The sequence below is a fragment of the Homo sapiens genome, chromosome 2 (assembly GCF_000001405.40).
Source record: "Homo sapiens chromosome 2, GRCh38.p14 Primary Assembly".
Lineage (NCBI taxonomy): Eukaryota > Metazoa > Chordata > Mammalia > Primates > Hominidae > Homo > Homo sapiens.
In genome coordinates this window covers 61,348,992-61,371,856 of record NC_000002.12, presented here as the reverse complement: position 1 = coordinate 61,371,856, position 22,865 = coordinate 61,348,992, and the positions used below count along the sequence as shown (strand labels likewise).

Here is a 22,865-nt window from a genome sequence, read left to right as displayed (position 1 = left end):
TATCTAACTGTAGAAAAAATAATGTAAAAAACCTGCAAAAAAGATAAAATAGGGTATTGCCTGTATAGGACGCTTACCAAGAATGGAGCTTGCAGGACTGGAAGTTGCTCTGGGTGAGTTGGTGAGTGATCGCTGAGAAGATGTGAAGGCCTAGGATGTGACTCTACACTACTGTAGACTTTGTAAGCACTGTACACTTAGGCTATACAAATTATTTAAAAATTTTTTTCTTCACTATTAAATTAACCTTAGCTTACTCTAACTTTTTATTTACTTTTATAAACTTAAAATTTTTTAACGTTTTGACTCTTATAATAACATTTAAAACACAAACACGTTGTATGGCTGTACAAAAGTATTTTTTCTTTATATTCTTATTCTGTGAGCTGTTTTCTTTCCTTTTTTTTTTTTTAACTTTTTAATAATACACATGGAGCTGTCATCTCCCATGCTGACTGTGCCTTTTTTTAAAAAAACTAGAAAGAGTATCCTTTAAAGATGAAAAGTATAATAAATACATAAACCAGCAACAGTCATTTATTAAGTATTATATACTGTATGTACATGCTATACTTTTATATGACTGGCAGTGCAGTAGATTTGTTTACATCAGCATCACCACAAACCTGTGAGTAATGCATTGCTCTATGACATGGTGGCCACAGTGACATTAGGTGATAGGAATTGTTCAAGTCACTTTTAATCTTATGGGACCACTGTTGTATATTTGGTCCATCCTTTGGTCTGCCATTGACCAAATCATTATTATGCAGTACATGACTGTCTGTTACTTCACTTTTCATCTATTGAATCTTCAATAGTATCAGCCAGGAGACTTACAGTTTGGCTTGGGGATAATTCTTTTGTTGTTCATCCTTTTGACAACCTATTTTCCTGATATTATCTCATTATAAAGGGCATACTGGGAAACCTTTCCTGAGTGCTTCAATACATACTGTGGAAATTAAAAAGTGGGAAGGCAAAGACCTCGAGTAGGATAATACATCACTAAATCAGTGTTACACTTGTGTACTTGGTGTTAATCGTTACCTTTTCAGTTATTCGTTGCTTGTTTATAAACTCAGGGAATTTGAATTTATAAATTCAGCATCATATTTCATTCTAGTTATGCTTTGTAGTATTCTATAAAACTGATTGTATCTAATTCTTTATAATTCCTATAGGAACAAATTTAGGTTTTCAATTGACTCTACCTTTTAGACATGAGAAAAGATGACAATTTTTTTTAATGTACTATTTTCATTGCTTGACTTTAGGTCCATTGCAAAAGAACTTGCAGACTGGCTTATTAGCAACAATGTGGTGGAGCATATATTTGGACCAAATTTACATATTGAGGTTTGTGGATGATTACATAACTTCTCTGTTCTATTGATAGAGAAGAATATTTTTAAAAATTGATATTAAGTTTTTCTTTTCCAGATTATCAAACAGTGCCAAGTGATTTTGAATTTTTTGGCAGCAGAAGGGCGACTGAGTACTCAACATATTGACTGTATTTGGGCTGCAGCACAGGTAATATTAACAGCTCACATTTATTGAGTGCTTTGCTTATCATATGTTCTAAGTGCTTCTCTGTGAGGTAAATTCTATTATCCTGTTTTATAGCTAAGGAGACCAAGACATGGACAAGCTGGGACTGAAATCTGGCTTCCGAGTCCATGTCTTACTATGTTACTGGTAGAATGGAAGGAAATCAGAGTCAGTCAGTTGGAGCTTCTTCATGAAACCATCCTGGTTTAATAAAGAGACATTTTCCTGTTATTCTCATTTATACAGTCTACCCTTCTATCCTGAATTATTGTATTGGTATGTTTCTTGTCTGATGTACTGTTTTTTTTTTTTTTTTTTTAAATAGGCATATATCCACATGATTCAAAATTCCAAAAGTAAATATAAAAAATATATTACATGTTTTTCCTTTCTGCCCCATCTCTCAAGCATGCAGTTATTATCTTCTCAGGTATATCAGATTTTTTTGTATAAATAGCGAACTGTATACATTTTTCTTCCTCTTTCTTTTTCACAAATGTAGCATACCAACCAGATGTGGCTTTGACTTTTTTTTTTTTCTTTCTTAATTTATTCTGGAGATTTCTCATCAATATATGAAGTGCTTTTTATCTTCTTGTAAAACTGTATAGTGTTTAATTATTTTTTCCCTCAGTCTTTTTTTTTTTTTTTTTTTTTTTTGAGACGGAATCTTGCTTTGTAGCCCAGGCTGGAATGCCATGGCGCAGTCTTGGCTTACTGCAACCTCCGCCTCCCCGGTTCAAGTGATTCTCCTGCCTCACGCTCCTGAATAGCTAGGACTATAGGTATGCACCGCCACGCCCAGCTAATTTTTGTATTTTTAGTAGAGATAAGGTTTCGCTATGTTGGTCAGGCTGGTCTCGAACTCCTGACCTCATGATCCGCCCACCTCGGCCTCCCAGTGTGCTGGGATTACAGGCATGAGCCACCACTCCTGGCCCCCCGAGTCTTTTCTGTTACAAACAATGCTGTAATAAGTAACTTCTAACACATTCATTTCATCCTTGTGTGAAACTTTTGTGTAGCTATGATAAATTCTTACTTACAAGTAGAATTAGAATTACTAGGTTAAAGAATATGTGTGGTTTACTTGTGGTAGATACTGGTACGGCAGTTTCACTTTCCCCTTAATTTTGTCAGCACATTAAATTACATGATCTTTGCCAACCTGATGGGTGAAAAGTGATATCATTGGTATTTTAAATTTGCGTTTCTTTTATCATGAGTGAGTTTGCAAATCTTGTGTTTAAGAGCCATTTTGTTGCTTTTTCTGGAATTGTTCATATTTTTTGCTATTTATCAATTGTTTTTCTTATTTTTTTTATTTGTAGGAGTTCTTTATGTGTCACTGAAGTTGATCTTTTGTTTGTGATTACAACTTATTACTGTATCCTGGTTTGATGCCTTTTTGCTTTGCTTAAGGTGGTTTTTACTGTTCAGTTTCATATTTGTGGTTGTAGTTTTTATGGTCTGTAGATTTTGTATCTTGGTTTGAAATGCCTTCTCCATTCACAACATTATAAGAGAATTCTCCTTTAGTTTCTCCCTATACATTTTCTATTGCAATTATATATCTTAATCTTTGATCCAGCTGGGATTTATGTTGGTTTAAAGTGTTATGTATGTGTCCAACTTTCCTCCCTTTTTTGTTGTGCAATTTTTCCAATTCCATTTGTTTACTAACTCTTCTTTCTGACTTGATATACCAATTTTTTCTTGACTGGGTAATTTTTTGAACTTTCTAGACTGACCTATTTGTGTGTATAATTATGATCTATACCAGGGATTGGTAAACTTATAGTCTGTGGGCCAGCTATCTGTTTTTGGAAATTCTTGCTACACAGACATGCCCATTCTTCTTTTTTTTTTTTGAGATGGAGTCTTGCTCTGTCACCCAGGCTGGAGTGCAGTGGCGTGATCTTGGCTCACAGCAACCTCTGCCTCCCGGGTTCAAAGGATTCTCCTGCCTCAGCCTCCTCACTAGCTGGGATTACAGGCACGCGCCACCACGCCCAGCTAATTTTTGTGTTTTTAGTAGAGACCGGGTTTCACCATGTTGGCCAAGATGGTCTCAATCTCTTAACCTCATAATCCTTCCGCCTTGGCCTCACAAAGTGCTGGTATTACAGGCGTGAGCCAATGGGCCCGGCCTGACGTGCCCATTCTTTTACATATTGTCCATGGTGGCTTCCACAGCACAACAGCAGAGTTCAGTAATCATAACAGAGACCCTGTCACCCATAATCCTAAAATATTTACTTTCCGGTTGTTTAAGGACATGTTCATCGAGTTTATACTAATTTTTTTCTTTATTTTTACTTGCCTCTTTGTAATATTTTTAAATGCCTGAGACGACTAGTCCTTCCTCATTATTGTTATAACTTTTCTGTCTTATTTATTTCTTCATACGAATTTTAGCATTGGGGTAAAATATTTTCATTGTGTTAATGATGATTAATTTGAGAACTGAAGTTCTGTCTTCCTGTCCAAAGTATGATACTCTTTTTCTTTTTTCTTTTGCATTATTCACAGTCTCAAAGTTATTTGTATATAGATTTTTATTTCGTGCTATGCTTAATCTAAGGAATTTGTTTTTTATTGCTATTATAAATTGTGATTTCTTCAATTATATTTCTTCCATTATGTTGCTATTTCTTTTACTATATTTAGTGATGGAGATATAGAGATATATATAAAATTAAAATATTTTTCATTACTAATGATTGTGTGCCTTGAGCCTTCACTGAATTCTTAGGTTGGTTGTGGTAGATTTTCAATGTATTTTCTTTGACTTCCCATGTCTAACATTGTGTGCTTGTTTGTTTGAGATGGAGTCTCCAGCCCTCACCTAGGCTGGAGCGCAGTGGTGTAATTAGCTCATTGCAGCCTTGAACTTCTGGGCTCAAGTGAGCCTTTCAAGTAGCTGAAACTACAGACACGAGCCACCACCTGGCAAATTGCATTTGTGTGTGTGCGCGCGCGTGTGTGTGTGCGCGCGCACTCGTGCTTCTAAACATATTTAAATTATTGCCTTATAAGACAGTGTCGCATACTGCTAGCATGTGAAGTCATAACTGTACTTGAGTTACAGTCTGGCCACTGCAATAGCCCTTTCTATGTTACGTTTCATAATTTGAATCTTAGTCCTTCTCGCCCTTTCAGGAACTGTTACTAGGAGGGATTATTTCTTCCTCTGTTACATATTCATATCTCTTGTCTGTACTGGATTTTTTATGTTGTGGGTCTCTTCATATGCCTTTGCTGTTTGTTCTGTTGCCAAGGCTAGAGTACGGTGGTGGAGTCTTGACTTGCTGCAGCTTCTGCCTCCTGGGCTCAAGTTATTGTCCCACCTCAGCCTCCTAAGTAGCTGGGACTACAGATGCACACCACCATGCTTGGCTAATTTTTGTGTTTTTTTGCAGAGACGAGGCTTTGCCTTGTTGCCCAGACTGGTCTCGAACTCCTGAGCTCAAGCGATCCTCCTGCGTTGCACTCCCAAAGTGCAGGGGTTATAGCTGTGAGCCACCACACCCGGCCACATTCATATTTCTAAGAGACAACTACATAAATGTTGTATATACTTTGGAATTTCACATATTTTTCTATTAGTGCTGTCTCTCAAATGGAACTCTTGTCTGGCAACTTCTCGGGGAATAGTATTGGAGGCATAACTACTCGTACTTTTCTCATTTGTCTCATCAAGCTTTCATTTCAGGTTGTAGGACTCTAAATGAGAGAATGTACAGTGGTACCAGTATCTGTATTTACATGCAATTACTTTATGTAGTTTTCTCCCCCAGGGAAGATCTCTGGTGGATGGGTTACCTATATGTTGGCTGCTCGTGTTTTTCTGACTGACGGGTGGCTGACAGAAAGAATCATACTTTATAGAAAACTTCATTTAAGTCCCGTCTCCATCTCCATGTCTTCCTTCTGTCCATCAAATCTCTTATTCTGAGCCCAGAATCTTTCTCAGTTATGTTGGGAAGATCATCTCACCTACCTCCTCTATAGCTTTCTTACAACTTACTCTGAGCTACAACTTTCTTTACCTATTACATTTTAAAAAGGTATTCACTGTCTGGGCGTGGTGGCTCACGCCTACAATCCCAGCACTTTGGGAGGCCAACGTGGGCGGATCACAAAGTCAGCGGTTCAAGACCAGCCTGACCAACATGATGAAACCCTGTCTCTACTAAAAGTACAAAAATTAGCCAGGCATGGCGGCGCATGCCTGTAATCCCAGCTACTCAGGAGGCTGAGGCAGAGGTTGTAGTAAGCTGAGATCACGCCATTGTACCCCAGCCTGGGCAGCAGAGTGAGACTGTGTCTCAAATAAATAAATAAATAAATAAATAGGTGTTCCCAGTCATTTTAGTCTTTCAGAAATGTGTAAGTTTTGTGTCTGATGGGAACTTTAATTTTCTTTGTGGATTTGTTCTTTTTATTATAAAGTACAGTAATGATTTTCTTCTCTAGAGGATGATGAAATTCAACAATTTTCTCCTTTCTCATTTTCCACCTCCCAGTTTTTATTGTTACTTGTATTTTATCAAATATTATAACATTTAGATTATATACTATAACCGTAATTCCCACAGTTGTTTAGTATTATGCTATATTTAGGTATGTGACTCTGACAAATCCTTTTTCCTCAACTCCTGTTTTTGTCATTCCTTTCTTCCTTACTCCAGAATTAATTGTATTTATTCTTATGGATTTCACAGAGTAGGTTTTTTTTCCTGAAGAGAAATTTGTGGATGTTATATTCTGGAGTTGTACACACTTGAAATGTCTCTTTTGTTTATTCTTAAAGAAGAGTTTGAGTGAATGTTCTCCTCATTTCCTGCTGGCAAGGTTTTTCTCTCATGTGGTTTGTCTTTTTTTAAAGTGTTCATTGATCCCATGAGGGTTTTTGTGTTCTGTTTTGTTCTGAGTTTTTGAAGGCATACATACATACATACATACATATATACACACACACACACACACATTTATAAATAAACACACGTGTGTGTGTGTGTGTGTGTGTGTGTGTGTGTGTGTATTTTGAAATGGAGTCTTGCTCTGTTGCCCAGGCTGGAGTGCAATGGGGCAATCTCAGCTTACTGCAACCTCTCCCTCCCTGGTTCAAGCAGTTCTCCTGCCTCAGCCTCCTGAGTAGCTGGGATTATAGGCGCGCACCTCCATGCCTGGCTAATTTTTGTAGTTTTAGTAGAGACGGGATTTCACCATGTTGGTCAGGCTGGTCTCAAACTCCTAACCTTGTGATCTGCCTGCCTTGATCTCCCAAATTGCTGGGATTATAGGCATGAGCCACCACACCCAGCCTATTTATTTATTTATTTATTTATATTTTTAAATTATTTTTTTGAGACAGAGTCTTGCTCTGTTGCCCAGGCTGGAGTACAGTGGTACGATCTTGGCTCACTGTAACCTCCGTCTCCGGAGCTCAAGCAATACTTCTACCTTAGCCTCCCGAGTAGCTGGGATTACAGACGTGCGCACCACCACATTGTCTAATTTTTGTATTTTTAATAGTGACGAGGTTTCATCATGTCAGCTAGGCTGGTCTCAAACTCCTGACCTGAAGTGATCTGCCTGTCTCGACCTCCCAAAGTGCTGGGATAATAGACATGAGCCACTGCTCCTGGCCTTGGTTGAAGGCTTTTAATATATATGTACTTTTTCTTGTATTTTCCTTTTATTTTATAGTGTCGTAAAATATGTATAACATAAAATTTACCATTTTCACCATTTATATGTGTACAAGTTAATGGGATATAAGATATTCATAATGTTGTGTAACTATCACCACTATCTGTATGCAAAACATTTTCATCATTACCAGTAACAACTTTGTACCTATAAAATAATAACTCTTAATTTCCTTCGTCCTTTCAGCCCCTGGTTTCTTCTGTTTTACATTCCTTTTTTGGAGACAGCGTCTTGCTGTATCACTTGGGCTGGATGCAGCAGCACAATTACAGCTCACTGCTGCAGCCTCAAAACTCCTGGGCTCAAGTGACCCTCTGGCCTCAGACTCCTGAGTAGCTGGGACTAAAGCATGCCTACCTAATTTTTGTATTTTTTGTAGAGATGGTGTCTTGTATTGCTCAGGCTGGTCTCCAATGTTTGGGCTCAAGCCATTCACCTGCCTTGGTCTCCCAAAGTGCGGGGATTTTAGGTGTGAGCCACCATGCTCAGCTGTTTTACATTCTGTCATCTTCTGTCTCCATGAGTTTGCCTATTCTAGGTACCTTCTATAAGTGGAATCATAATATTTGTCCTTCTCTGTGTGGCTTACTTTACTAACATAATGTTTCCAAAGTTGTTATTTTATAGGTACAAAGTTGTTATTGGTGATGATGAAAATGTTTTGCGTACAGATAGTGGTGATAATCTATGTCATAGCAAACATTAAAATTTCATTCCTTTTATGACTAATACTCTACTGTATGTATATACTGCATTTTATTCATCCATCAGTGGACATTTGGGTTGTTTCCACCTTTTGGATATTATGAGTAATGCTGCTGTGAACATGGGTTTACAAATATCTGTTCCATTTCCTGCTTTCAGTTATTTTGTATATACAGTCATGTGTTGTATAACCATGTTTCAGTCAACAACACACCACATACATATACAACAGTGTTCCCGTAAGATTATAATGGAGCTTATTATAATTTGTATCACCTCATGACATTGTGATAACTGTCCTAGTATAGTGCAACAAATTACTTTTTCTGTGTTATTTACCGTTGAGTTACAGTTGCCTACAGTATTCAGTACAGTAACATGCTATACAGGAGCAGTAAACTATAGCATATAGCCTAGGTGTGTAGTAGACTCTACCATCTTTTGTATAAGTATGCTCTGATGTTCACAAGAGGGCATTTCTCAGAACGTATCCCTATCCTGAAGCCACACAAGATCGTGTACCTAGGAGTAGGATGTCTGGATCACATGGTAATTCTGTGTTAAACTTTTTGAGAAGGCACCAAATTGTTTTGCACAAAAGCTGCACCATTTTACATTCTCACCAGTGATACCAGAGGGTTCTGGTTTCTCCACATCCTTGCCTATACTTGTTACTTCCATTTTGAAAAAAAATTCAGCTATCCTAGTAGGTGTGAATTTGTATCTCATTGTGGTTTTTATTTGCATTTTCCTGGTGATTAATTATATTGAACATGCTTTCCTGTGCTCATTGGCTATTTGCATATTTGCTTCGGAGAAATGTCTGTTCATGTCTTTTGCCCATTTTTGATTGGGTTTTGTTTGGTTTTCTTTTGAGTTTTACAAAAAATATTCTGGATGTTAATTTTTAAAATCAGGTATATAATTTGCATATAATTTCTCTAAGTCTGTTTTTCTTTTTAAATTGAGATATAATAGGCAAATACTGAGAAATACTATACAAATATAAAAATTATGTATTTAAGGTGTACAACTTGATGTTTTAATGTGCATAGTGTGAAATAATCACTACAGTCAAGCTAATTCACATATCTATTACCTCACATGGTTACCATTTTCTTTCAAGTATGTAATACAGTATTGTTAACTGTAGTCACATTGCTGTACATGAGATCTCCAGAATTTACTCATTTTGGAGAACTTAAACTTTATACTCTTTTACTGATGTCAACTTATTTCTCTCTCCTCCTGTACTCTCCGCTTCTTTGACTACTTTAAATTCATCATGTAAGTGAGACTATGCAGCATTTATCTCTCTTTGTCTGGTTTATTTCACCTAGCATAATCTTTACTAGGGTCAGTCATGTTGTCAAAAATGGAAGGATTTCCTCCTTTTTAAAAGCTGAATAATATCCCTATGTGTGTATGTATATGTACACCACATTTTGTCTATTCATCTGTGGAAAGATGTTTAGTTTTTTTTCCATATCTTGGCTCTTGGGAATAATACTGCAGTGAATGTGAGAGTGAAGATATCTCTGAGATAGTGATTTCATTTCCTTTGGATATGTATCCAAAGTGGGATTGTGGATCATAACATAAGATAGTTCTGTTTAATTTTTTGAGGAACGTCCATGTTGCTTTCAAAAATGACTGTACCAGTTTTCATTCCCACCAACAGTGTATAAGGATTCCCATTTCTCCACATTTCTTGCTAACATTTATCTTTTGTCTTTTTGATAATAGTTGTTACAACGTAGGTGTGAGATATGCTTTTGATTTGCGTTTCTCTGATGATTAGTGATATTGAGCAGCTTTTATACCTATTGGCTATTTGTTTGTCTTTTTTTGAGAAATGTCTATTTTCTTTGCCCTACATAGGGTTATTTATTTATTTATTTATTTATTATTTTTTTGCTATTGAGTTGTATGAGTTTCTTAAATATTCTGGATATTAACCCCTAATCAATACATGGTTTGTAAATATTTTATTCCATTTTGTAGGTTGCTTTTTCACTCTGTTGTTTCCTTTGCTGTGCAGAAGCTTGTTGGTTTGATGAAATCTCAATTGTATATTTTGGCTTATGTTGCCTATGCTAATAGTTCCTGTCAAAAAAATTATTTCCTAGACCATTGTCAAGAAGCTTTTTAACCTGTGTCACCTTCTAGTAGTTTTACAATTTCAGGTCTTAAATGTACTTTGAAGTTTTTAATCCATTTTGAGTTGATTTTTGTGTGTGGTATAAGATAAGGATCCAGTTTCATTCTGTATGTGGATATCAGGTTTTCCCATCACCTTTTGTTGAAGAGACTGTCCTTTCCCTATCATATGTTCTTGGCATCCTTCTGGAAGATCAGTTGATTGTAGATGCATGGATTTGTTTCTGGGGTTTTTATTTGTTCTATGGGTCCATATGTCTGTTTTTATGCCAGTGCCATATATAATATGTATTTTTAATGGACAGGGTCTTGCTCTGTTGTCCAGGTTGGAGTGCAGTGGTTCAGTCACAGCTCATTGCAGCCTCGACTTCCTGCACTGAGGTGATCTTCCTGCCTCAGCCTTTCAAAATAGCTAGGACTACAAGAGCATGCCACCATGCCCAGCTAACTTTTAATTTTTTTAAATTGTTTTGTAGAGACTGGGTCTTGCTGTATTGCCCAGGCAGATCTCAAACTCCTGGCCTCAAGCAGTCCTCCTTCCTCAGCCTCCCAGATTGTTGAGATTACATGTGTGAGCCACTGCACCTGGCTCATATTGTTTTGATTACTGTAGTCATGTAATGTATTTTGGAATTAAAAAGTGTGATACTTCCAACTCTATTCTTACTCAAGATTGTTTTTTGCTATTTGGGGCCTTTTGTGGTTCTGTATGAATTTTAGGGCTGTTTTTTCTATTTTTGTAAGGAATGCCATTGAGGCTGGGTGTGGTGGCACACGCCTATTAATCCCAGCACTTTGGGGAGGCCAAGGAGCTAACTTCTGATAGCTTGAGCTCAGAAGTTCGAGACTAGCCTGAGCAACATGCTGAAACCCTGTCTGTACCAAAAATACAAAAAACTAGTTGGATGTGGTGGTACGTCCCTGTAGTCCCAGCTACTTGGGAGGCTGAGGTGGAGGATTGCTTGAGCCCAGGACGTCGAGGCTGCAATGAGCCAAGATGGTGCCACTGTACTCCAGCTTGGCTGACAAAATGAGACCCTGTCTCAAAACAAAAGACTGCCATTGAGATTTTGATAGGGATTGCGTTGACTCTGTAGATTTTGGGTGGTATGGACTTTTAATGATATTTTTCCTTCAGTGCATGAATATGGAATGTCTTTTTATTTATGTGTTTCTTCTTTAATTTCCTTCAGTGTTTTATAATTTTCAGTGTACAAGTCTTTTACTTCTTTGGCTAAGTTTATTTCTACATATTGTAAAATACTTTTGTTGCTGTGGTAAACGGGACTGTTTTCTTAATTGCGTTTTCAGATAGCCTGCTTGTACTTAGAAATGCTGCTGATTTTTTTATATTAACTTGGATCCAGCAGCTTTACTGTATTCATTTATTAGTTCTAACAGTTTTCTGTTGTTGTGGAGTTGTAAGGTTTTTCTACATATATATGATCATTTGTAAAAAGATAATTTTTCTTTCCTGTTTTCTATTTGGAGTCCTTTTATTCCTTAAGTCTTCTCTCTTGGAATTTCAGTATTAAATTGAATAGGAGTGGTAATACTGGGGCATCCTTGCCTTTCCTGGATCTTAGAGGAAAAGCTTTCAGTTTTTCCTTACTGATTTATGCTATTATTTGTGTGCTTTATATATGAAAAAAAGCTGGCCAGGCATCCCAGCATTTTGGGAAGCTGAGGCGGGTGGATCGTGAGGTCAGGAGTTCAAGACCAGCCTGGCCAACATAGTGAAACCTCGTTTCTACTAAAAATAGAAAAATTAGCCTGGTGTGGTGGTGGGCGCCTGTAGTCCCAGCTACTTGGCAGGCTGAGACAGGAGAATTGCTTGAACCTGGGAGGCAGAGGTTGCAGTGAGCCGAGATCACCCAGCCGAGCACTTTAGGCTGGGTGACAGAGTGAGACTGTCTCAAAAAAAAAAAAAAAAAAAAAAACAACTGTGGGCTTTTCATATATGGCCTCTTATGCTGAGGTAAGTTCCTTCTATGCCTGTTCTTTTGAGCGTTTTTATCATGAATGGATGTTGAATTTTGTCAGATGCTTTATTTTTTGCTGTGTGATCTATGGTTTATTTTCATTCTTCTAGTGTCCTTTGATGCACAAAAGTTTTTAATTTTGATGAAGTCTAACATATCTTTGTTGTTGTTGACTATTTTTGGCGTCATACCCAAGAAATAATTTTCAAATCCAATGTCATGAAGATTACAATCCTTATCTTTTCCTTCTAAGGGTTTTTAAAAAAAGATTTTTCTTTTAAGTATTTGATGTGTTTTGATTTGTTACATGTGGTGTAAGGTAAAGATTAAACTTTATTCTTTTTACATGTAAATATTCAGTTTTCCTAACACCATTTGTTGAAAAAACTGTCCTTCCCCCATTAAATGGCCTTGGCAACCTTGGTTGAAAGTCAGTTGACCTTTTTCATATGAAGGTTTATTTTTGGGATCTGCATTCTTCTCCACTGGCCTACATGTGTGTCCTTATGTCAGTACCATACTATTTAATTACTACTGTTGCTTTTTGTTTTTTCTTTTTTTTCTTTTTGCAAGTTTCAAAGTCATCTTTTTCAGACTGTTCTGGCTATTTACAGTCCCTTGCAATTCTGTATGAATTTGAAGATCAGCTTTTCCAGTTTTGTAAAAAAGAATAGATATTGCATTGACTCTGTGGATCACTTTGGAGGCAGTATTAATATCTTAACAAAATAAGTCTTCCTATCCGTTAACATGAATGTCTTTGTCTTTATTTAGGTTTTTAATTTATTTTAGCAATGTTTTGTAGTTTTCAGAATACAAAACTTTACCCTCTTTGGTTAGATTTGTTCCTGAGTATTCTTTTACATGCTTTTGAAAATTGTGTTACTTTCTTAATTTTCTTTTCGGATTGTTCATTTCTAGTGTATAGAAATATAGCTGATTTTTGCATTTTGATCTTGTTCCTTGCAACTTGGTGAATTTGCTTCTCAGCTTAGTAGTTCTCCTGTGGATTCTTTAGGATTTTCTATATGTATATGATTATGTCATTTGCAATTAGAGATAGTTTTACATCTTCCTTTCTCATTTGGATGCCTTTCATATTTTTGTCTAGTAGCTCTGGCTAGTAGTTCATTACAGTGTTGAGTAGCAGTGGTAAATATGGGCATCCTTGTCTTGTTCTGATCTTAGGGGGAAATATGTTATTCATCATTGAGTATGATATTGCCTGTGGGTTTTTGATAAGTACCCTTTATCATGTTGATTTTTTTTCTCTTTTAGTTTTCTGAGAATTTTTATCATGAAAGGAATCTTCCAGGTTGTCCAATTTTCTCGTGTACAATTATAATATCTCATAATTTTTTTAGAACTATAAGTTTAGTATGAATGCCCTCATTTTCATTGCAGCTTTGAGTTCTTTGTCTTTTTTTTCCCCATAGTCTAGCTAAAGGGTTGTCATTTATAAAATTCTTTAACAAACCGTCCTTTGGTTTTGTTAGTTTTCTCTATTAACATTCTTATTTATTTATTTATTTATTTATTTATTTTAGATGGAATCTCGCTCTGTCTTGCCCAGGCTGGAGTGCCGTGGTGCAATCTTGGTTCACTGCAGCCTCCGCCTCCCAGGTTCAAGTGATTCTCCTGTCTCAGCCTCCTGAGTAGCTGGGACTACAGGCATGTGCCACCACACCCAGCAAATTTTTTGTATTTTTAGTAGAGATGGGATTTCGCCATGTCGGCCAGGCTGATCTCAAACTTATGACCTCATGTGATCCACCTGCCTTGGCCTCCCAAAGTGCTGGGATTACAGACGTGAGCCACCACGCCCGGCCCATTCTTACTGTTTTGTAAAGAGAGAATTTCTTGCTCTGTTGCCCAAGCTGGAGTATGCAGTGTTGTAATCTTAACCTTCTGGGCTCAGGCAGTCCTTCTGCCTTAGCCTCTCAAGTAGCTAGGACTACAGGCTTGTGCCACCACTCCTGGCTAATTTTTAAATATTTTTTGTAGAGAAAGGATTTCACCGTGTTGCTCAGGTTGGTATTGAACTTCTGATGTAAAGCAGTCTTTCCCCCTTGGCCTCTCAAAGTGAGAGTATTACAACAGGCATGAACTGCATCTGACCAGCTTTCTGTACTATTTTCATATTCTTTATTTTATTTATCTCTAATCATTTTCTTCCTTCTACTAGCTTTAGGTTTGTTTCTCTTGTAGTTCCTTCCCTAAGTTGTAAAGTTTAGTTGTTGAATTGAGATTTTTTTTTTAAATTCACATTTACATTTGTAAACATAAGTTTTCATGCATAAATAAAATTTTCCTCTGAACATTGTTCTTTCTGCATTCTATTTTTTGTTGTATTTTATCTGTAAATATTTTCTAATTTCCCTTGTGATTTCATTTTTGATCCTTTGACTGTTTGAATGTGTTAATTTCTACATATTTGTGCGTTGTCCAGTTTTCCTTCTGGTACTGATTTTCAGCTTCTTCCTGCTGTGGGTAGAGAAACATTTTAGTATGATTATCTGTATTTTAATATCTGTTGAGACTTGTGGTCTAGCATCCAGTCTATCTTGGAACATGTCCCACATGTACTTGAGAAAAATGTGTTTTCTGCTGCTGTTGGAGTGTTCTGTGTATGCCTGCTAGGTCTATTTGGCTTATTGTGTTGTTCAGATTCTCTATTTCCTTGTTTATGATTATTCTCTTTATTGAAAATTGGATATTGAAGTCTCCAACTATTATTGTGGAACTTTTTATTTCTCTATTTCTTCCATTCTTTCATAATGTTTATGGTCATATCTTCTTGGTATTTTGAATCTTGTATTACTAAAGTTTATCTTTAGTAAACTTATGAAAACACTTTAAATTGTGGTTTGAAAAAATGCAGTTGATCCCCTTTAATCATTTTTAAGTGTGTAGTTCACTAATGTTAAGTCTATTTGCATTGTGCAATAGATCTCTAGAACTTATTTATATTGCAAAACTGAAACTCTGTACCCATTGAACAACAACTCTCCTCATTTTCCCCTCTCATCAACTTTGGGTTGTAACCTCTATTCTACTTTCTGTTTCCGTGATTTTGAGTAGTCTAGGTTTCTGATATAAGTGGAATCATTAAATATTTGTCCTTTTGTGACTGGCTTATTTCACTTAGCCTAATCTCTTCAACATTCATCTGTGTTGTGGCATGTGTCAGCATTTTCTTCGTTTTTAAGGATGAATAGTATTGCAGTGTGTGTGTGTATGTGTGTGTGTGTGTGTGTGTGTGCGCTTTCACCCAGGCTGGAGTGCTGTGGCACAATTATGGCTCACTGCAACCTTGACCTTCCAGGATTAAGCCATCCTCCCACTTCAGCCTCTGAAGTAGCTGGGACTATGGGCACATGCCCACCGTGCCTGACTAAGTTTTGTATTTTTTAGTAGAGACAGGGTTTTGCCATGTTGACCTGGCTAGTCTTGATTTCCTGGGCTCAAGTGATCCACCCGCCTTGGCCTCCCAAAGTGCTGGGATTACAGGCATGAGCCACTGTGCCTGGCCTGTAGCACTTTTTTTTTTTTTTTTTTAAATTCATTCATCTGTTGATGGACATTTGGGCTGCTTTTACATCCTGGCTGTTAGGAATAACGCTGTAGTGATCATGGGAGTACAGATACCTCTTTGAGATCTTGCTTTGAATTCTTTTAGACATATACCTAGGAGTCAGATTGCTGGATTAAATGGTAATTCCATTTGTTTTTTTCTGGTAACCTTTTTAAAATTTAAATTGTATCTTATTTGATGTTAGTATAGCCAACCCAGCTAGCTTTTGCTTGCTATTTGCGTGGAATATCTTTTTCTGTCCTTTCACATTAAACCTTTTTGTGTCTTTGGATATAAAGCAAACCTCTTATAGACAATTGGATCAAGTTTTAAAAAAATACCAATTCTGTCTTTTTCTTTTGATTGGAGAGTTAAACCATTTACATTTAAAATAATTACTCATAAAGAGGGACAAACTTGTGTTATTTTGCCTTTTCTTTTCTCTATGTCTTGTAGTGTTTTTCTGCCTCATTTCTTCCATTACTGCCTTTTTTGTATGTTTAGTTGTTTTGGTGGTTTGTGTTTGTTTGTTGTTGTTGTTGTTGTTGTTGTTTTTGTAGTGAAACAGTTCGATTTCCTTTTAATTTTCTTCTGTATTTAACATGGAGATTACATTTAACTTCCTAAAGGTATAACAATCTAATTTCAATTTATACCAGCTTAACTTCAATGCCATGTAAAAACTCTGCTCCTAATGACTCCATCTCTCCATTTTTATTACTACTGTCACAAATTGCAACTTGGTATGTTGTGTGCCTAGTAAGGCAGGTTAATAATTATTCTTTGTTTTTTAAATCATGTGGAAAATAAAAAGTGGAGTTACAAACTGAAATTTCAGTATTATCTGTAATAATTGCCTGTGTATTTATCAGAGATCTTTCTTATTTCATTTCAACTGGAAGGACTCTTTAGCATTTGTCTCATTTTTTTTCTCTTTGCAAGACAATTTATATTTATTCATCTTGTACCCTACTCAAAGACCAAATTAAATCATTCCATTATTCCCCAGAACTTTTGAAGACATGAAAAGGGTTCATTCCAACAATTACTAATGCATATTCGTGCTGGGTTTCATGCTGGTCACTGAGAACACAGGGATAATTCATTGCTGCTGTCCCTTTCCTCGGGGAGTGCCTGTCTTGCAGGATAGAGACAAGTGCCTCATGGGGGATACAGCAACAACAGAGGGATGTGGGGCTCTGAGATTGGGCTGGTCCCAGCAAGCTTGTATAGCATGGGGTCTGGTACAGTGCACCACAAGAGCACCAAGTACTCAATCAGGAGTTGGAGGTGAGCATTGAAGCATTCTGGCAACTACCTGATCACCCAAGGGTCTGCCTCAGTGTGAGCACCTCTGAGCCCCAGCCTCACATTTCCTCAATTCCTGGGCCCAGGCTCCAGGCTTTCAGTTCCTCCACATGTTGCCCAACCCAACATAGTGAACACTTTTTCCTCAAACATTCTAGGTTTTCTGAGTCATTTGGCTGGCTGTGAAAAAAAGCTACTCTTTTCGGCTCAGGCTAGCTGAGGCCAGGTCATTTCAGCCCTGGCTGCCCCAGTGCTAACCAGGTCATTGAGCAGCGGGAGGCTGGAACTAGAGTTTGTGGTTGCTACCATCTTGTGTCCCCTTCTCCCATTTAGTGGCTAGAAGCACACTGGGAAACTGTCTTTTAGCAATTTTTATGGGGCAGGTGTAAGTGTCACAAACTCCTTCAGCTTTTTTCTGCGAATGTCTTAATTTCAACCCTAATTTTTGAAGGACAGTTTTGCTGAATTTAGAATTCTTATTGCAAGATTTTTCTTTTAGCCCCTTGAATATATCAGCTCATTGCCTTCTGGCCTCTAACGTTTTGGATGAGAAATTCGCTGATAATCTTATCGAGGATCTCTTATATGTGACAAGTTACTTGTGGTTTTTGAGATTTTCGTCTTTGGCTTCCTACATTCTGATTGCATTGTGTATCGATAGGGGTCTTTTTGAGTGTATCTTCCTTGGAGTTTGTTGAACATCTTGGATTTGTAGATTCATGTCTTTCATGAAATTGGTTATTTATTTAGTTAGTTATTTAAGTATTCTGTCTTTCCATTTTTCTTTGCATTCTGGGATTTCCAAAATGAATGTGTTGCTCTGCTTCATGGTATCCCACAGGTCCCTTAGGCTATTCATTTTTCTTCTTTTCCTCAGACTTGATAATTTCAGTTGTCCTACTTACGGGTATGCTGATTCTTTTTTCCGCTTGCTCAGAGCTGCCTTTGAATCCTTGTGTAGTGTATTGTTCATTTCAGTTGTTGTACCTTTCATTTCCATAATTTCTTTTTGGTTCCTTTTTATAATTTCTGTCCCTTTGCTGATATTCTCATTTTGTTCATGCATTGTTTTCCTGTCTTTACTCTTACTATCTTTGAGATAAAGTTTTTTAAAATCTTTGTCTAGTGGCTGAGTGGTGAGTCACACCTGTAATCCTAGCACTTTGGGAGGCCGAGGCAGGTGGATCACTTGAGGTCAGAAGTTTAAGACCAGCCTGGCCAACATGGCGAAACCCTGTCTTCACTAAAAATACAAAAAAAACCCAACTAAACAAAAAAAACAAAAACAAAAACAAAACTAGCTGGGTGTGGTGGCACACACCTGTGGTCCCAGCTACTTGGGAGGCTGAGGCATGAGAATCACTTGAACCTGGGAGGCACACGTGGCAGTGAGCTGAGATCGCACCACTGCACTCCAGCCTGGGTGACAGAGCAAGACTGTCTCAAAAAAAAAAAAAAAAACATTCGTCTAGGAAGTGCAACAGGTGGACTTCAGGTATATTTTCTGTGGACTTTTTGTTCTTTCCTTTTTTGTTTTGTTCCGCAAAAAAAAAGTACAACTCTAAGACCTCTAGTAATCATTTCAGATGGTTTGTGTTGAAACAATGGCAGCCAGCCTCTGTGCCTGTACCTCACCAGTCAGAATTAGCAATCAGCTAGCTGTCGGAACAGAGAATCTTGATGTTCAGGGACGTGGTCCTTACTGCCCACCTGTCTCCAGAAGCTGTACCAGAAACCTGTATTGTTGTCTCCGTAGCTGCCTGTCATTGCATGGGCAGGTTGGGAGTGTGCGTGTCAGAAATGGGTAGCAGTAGCAGCTATGGCATTGGAGGCTGAAATTGTTAAGTGTAGAAGTTCAGATTGACTCTAGAGTTTCAGGATACTTACATCTGATTCGGCTAGTACATTTTTTGTCTTGGTATAGTAATGGATTCCTGGCGTTTTCTGTTCTCCCATCTTCCCTGATATCCTTTTCTTTTTCGTCTTCATCGTCTTTGTTTTCATCGTCTTTGTCCTCTTCGTCATCTTTGTTTCTTCATCCTCCTTGTCCTCCTCCTCTTTGTCCTCTTCCTCCTCCTCTGCTGCTGCCACCACCACGCATTCTTAATAATATTTTTTGTGTACTGTGGAATTAAATAATGTACACATTTGAAAGAGTGGGTTTTTTTTTTTTTTAATCTCAGTTACAGGATTTTATGATTTTTTTTCTCAAGGGTCTTGTTACTTAAAAATAAGCTCAGTGGCTCATTCCTGTAATTTCAGCACTTTGCGAGGCTGAGGCAAGAGGATCACTTGAGCTTAGGCGTTTTAAAATTAGACTGGGCAATATCATGAGACTTCATCTGTATAAAACAAAACAAAAATAACCAAGTGGCAGATTAATACCCTAGAAACCCCAACAAGGTTTCAATAATATACTTAATTATCAAAATTAAGTATATTATGGAAATTTCATTATATTAATGGTTAAATTGGCAGAAAATTGGAAGTTTATTATGTATTACATATAGTGTATAGTTTAGTATATACATATACTATATATATAAACATGTATATATGTGTTTTTATCATATTTTAAGTAGAAAAACCATGTAAGAGTTACTTGTTGGCAAAAAGTAGAGAAAACTGTTAGTACAAATTGAGAATTCCTAATCCAAAACTCTAAAATTTGAACTGCTACAAAGTTTGAGATCTGAGTGCCAACATGGTGCTCAAAGAAGTACTCATTGGAACATTTAAGATTTTGGATTATTGAATTAGAGATCTTCAACTGGTAAGTATATAATGCAGATACTCCAAAGTGTGGAAAAATCCAAAACCTGAAACACTTCTGCTTCCAAGCATTTCAGATAGGGGATACTTAACTTGCATATTTTAATCTGTAATGTTATTTAATACTATATTTAAATTAACATTCTTAGTCAAGACCTGTAAAAGTGGTAAACTTACTGAGTATTCACTTGTCCTTAAAATCAAATACTGTTTGTAGTATTGAAGTACTGCCATTGTTTTTTAAATGGATACTTAGTGGTGTTAAAGTAAATAGCAGTAGAAGCAGATAGTGTAATTTATAAGAAGCCTCACCAAGATAGAAGAATTCCTGCAGTATTATGTTTTCTTACATGTATTTCACCTTATATTTCAGTATTAGGTTGTGCATATTTACCCTGAAAGAGAAGCAGCAGAAGAGAATTCATATGTGTATGCCTACAAAATATAAAAATCAGTATTTTTGAGTAAAATCTATATTTTAATAGATTTTTTTATGTATTAAAAGTAGGAAACTTTGCATTTGACAGCCCTCAAATTGGGAATTACTTGTCTAATCTTCTGTTTATTACCCTATCTTGATTTAGTAGTTAGCAGCTTCATGGCTGTAAAATACTTTTATTTTACATGACATAATATTTAGTGTTTATATCTTCATAAATATTGTCCCTCATGAATTTACATGTTTGTGTTTATTATAACAAAGAAGTCTTTGTATCTCATGGTTTATTATTTTATAGATCTTTATAAGGGTTTCTGTTGTGTACTCCAGTAAAATAAAAGCATTATATAAATACTTTATAAAGATTTAATAACAAATCTGGCACACCTGTGATAATTTACTTTTTTCTCCTAAGCGTAATTTATTGTCTTATTTGTATTTTAATTTACTATTTAACTTATTTTTGTATTATGACATGTAAATTAATTCCATTGGAATCAAGAGATCTTCCCACCATAGCCGCCTATGTAGCTGGGACCACAGGTGTGCACCTCAGCACCCACCTAATTTTAAAATGTATTTTTTACAGAGATGAGGTCTCACTATGTTGCCCAGACTGATCTGAAACTCCTGGGCTCAAGCTGTGCTGCCAACTCAGCCTCTCAAAGTATTGGAATTACAGGCATCAGCCACCACGCCCAGCCTTCCCTCTTATAATTAGGAAATTCAGCTTGTCATTTGTTTGGTTAAGTTTCATTTCTGTTTAGGTGAATTTGTTTTTACTGTTTTATGCACTGCCATTCATCATCTTAGATAATTAGCATTTTACCGTCATATTAAAAAATATTAGTGTACTGGCCAACTTTTTGACTTTCAAACTGTTTTTATATCAGGTAATCTACATGTATTGGGCAATTATTTTTGACCATTCTCTCTAACTTGATTTTCTAGTTGAAACATTGTAGTCGGTATATACATGACTTATTTCCTTCACTCATCAAGAATTTGGATCCCGTACCACTTAGACATCTACTTAATCTGGTCTCAGCTCTTGAGCCAAGTGTTCATACTGAACAGGTAATACATTCAAAACATGATAGTTTTTTTTTTTTCCCGTGAAGTGAAAATTTCCTTGTGATTCAGATAATTTAACTTTCATTTTATTGTCTTGGCATTTCAGTTTGACAAAAAGGATATTAAATTTGTTAGTGTTGCCTGGAATTCTCAAACTGAAATCTCTCCCTCTTTTTTTTAGACACTGTACTTGGCATCCATGTTAATTAAAGCACTGTGGAATAACGCACTAGCAGCTAAGGCTCAGTTATCTAAACAGAGTTCTTTTGCATCTTTATTAAATACTAATATTCCCATTGGAAATAAGAAAGGTTAGTAATGTCATGTATTTTGAAGTAAATTGTTGAGAGCTTCTCACTCAGATTTGAAATATTTTCTGCTAATACATTCAGTTCAATCTTTATTTTAAAATAAGTGTGGGATGGGTAGAAGAGTGCATATAAAAGGATTAATACTGTGATTAGTTCGTGTTTTGGTTTACCTTTTAAGTGAAGGATAGTGATGAAGTCTTTGTAGTTACTGGATTTTCTCAGCTTTGGTTATCTTTTTTTTTTAAACAAAAGCTTTGGAGATTTCATTTTGTAAACAAACAAGTTTTGTTTCAGAAATAATTTTAAGAGTAGAACATAATGATTCAGTTATCTTGTTGTGTTTTCTGCTTCAAAGTTTTCTGCCATGTCAGGTGCTTTGTGGGGTTTTTTTGTTGTTGTTGTTGTTGTTGTTGTTTTTTGAGACGGAGCCTCGGTCTGTCACCCAAGCTGGAGTGCAGTGGTGCTATCTTGGCTCAATGCAAGCTGCGTCTCCCGGGTTCACGTCATTCTCCTGCCTCAGCCTCCCGAGTAGCTGGGACTACAGGTGCCCGCCACCACGCCCAGCTAATTTTTTTGTATTTTTAGTAGAGACGGGGTTTCACCGTGTTAGCCAGGATGGTCTCGATCTCCTGATCTTGTCATCCATCCGCCTTGGCCTCCTAAAATGCTGGGGTTACAGGCGTGACCCACTGCATCTGGCCAGTGGGTATTTTTTTTAACATACATAGCTTTCAAGGGCTTTCTGAAACATTAGTTGAACTCAGTTTTTGTCTCCTGACAACATATACTACCCCTCTCTTAGGCTTTTCTGTGCAGGCACCCCCAACAACTACTGTAGGTGGTGGGGACTTAACCTTATTGCAGGTTTCTCCACTTACATCTTGTTGATTATGTAATATGAACAACTGATACGCTGTCTCAAAGAAGCTGAGTCACTTAGAATGTTTTTCTCCTGTTTTTTCCTTTTCCTTCAGAGGAAGAAGAGCTTAGAAGAACAGCTCCATCACCTTGTAAGTTGAGCCTTAGAAATTCATGGCAACATGACTTAGTTTTTTATAGTGGTTTTCTAGAGTTCATTGATTTTACATAATAATATATTTGTATCAGTCATAAAGTTCATTTTGAGGAGATGTAAACCTTTAACATATTCGTGTTACCCATTTTTCTTAAAATCTTAAACATCTTGACTTTTAATTGAATCTTACATCTTCTTTAGAAATCATGAGCAAATGTTAACATATTTAGAGATTTTATTTTTGGCTACTTAG

The 22,865-nt window shown here is 36.7% G+C and overlaps 1 protein-coding gene across 1 annotated transcript in view; it reads left to right on the top strand.

Annotated features, from left to right (window-relative positions):
• Positions 1–22,865, top strand: part of USP34 (ubiquitin specific peptidase 34) — a 283,625-nt gene that overhangs the window by 99,231 nt on the left and 161,529 nt on the right. The window contains exons 9-13 of the mRNA NM_014709.4: positions 1,278–1,359; positions 1,444–1,536; positions 21,164–21,289; positions 21,468–21,597; positions 22,572–22,607. Coding sequence (NP_055524.3) covers positions 1,278–1,359; positions 1,444–1,536; positions 21,164–21,289; positions 21,468–21,597; positions 22,572–22,607 — 467 coding nt within the window. The remainder of the gene's footprint in view (positions 1–1,277; positions 1,360–1,443; positions 1,537–21,163; positions 21,290–21,467; positions 21,598–22,571; positions 22,608–22,865) is intronic.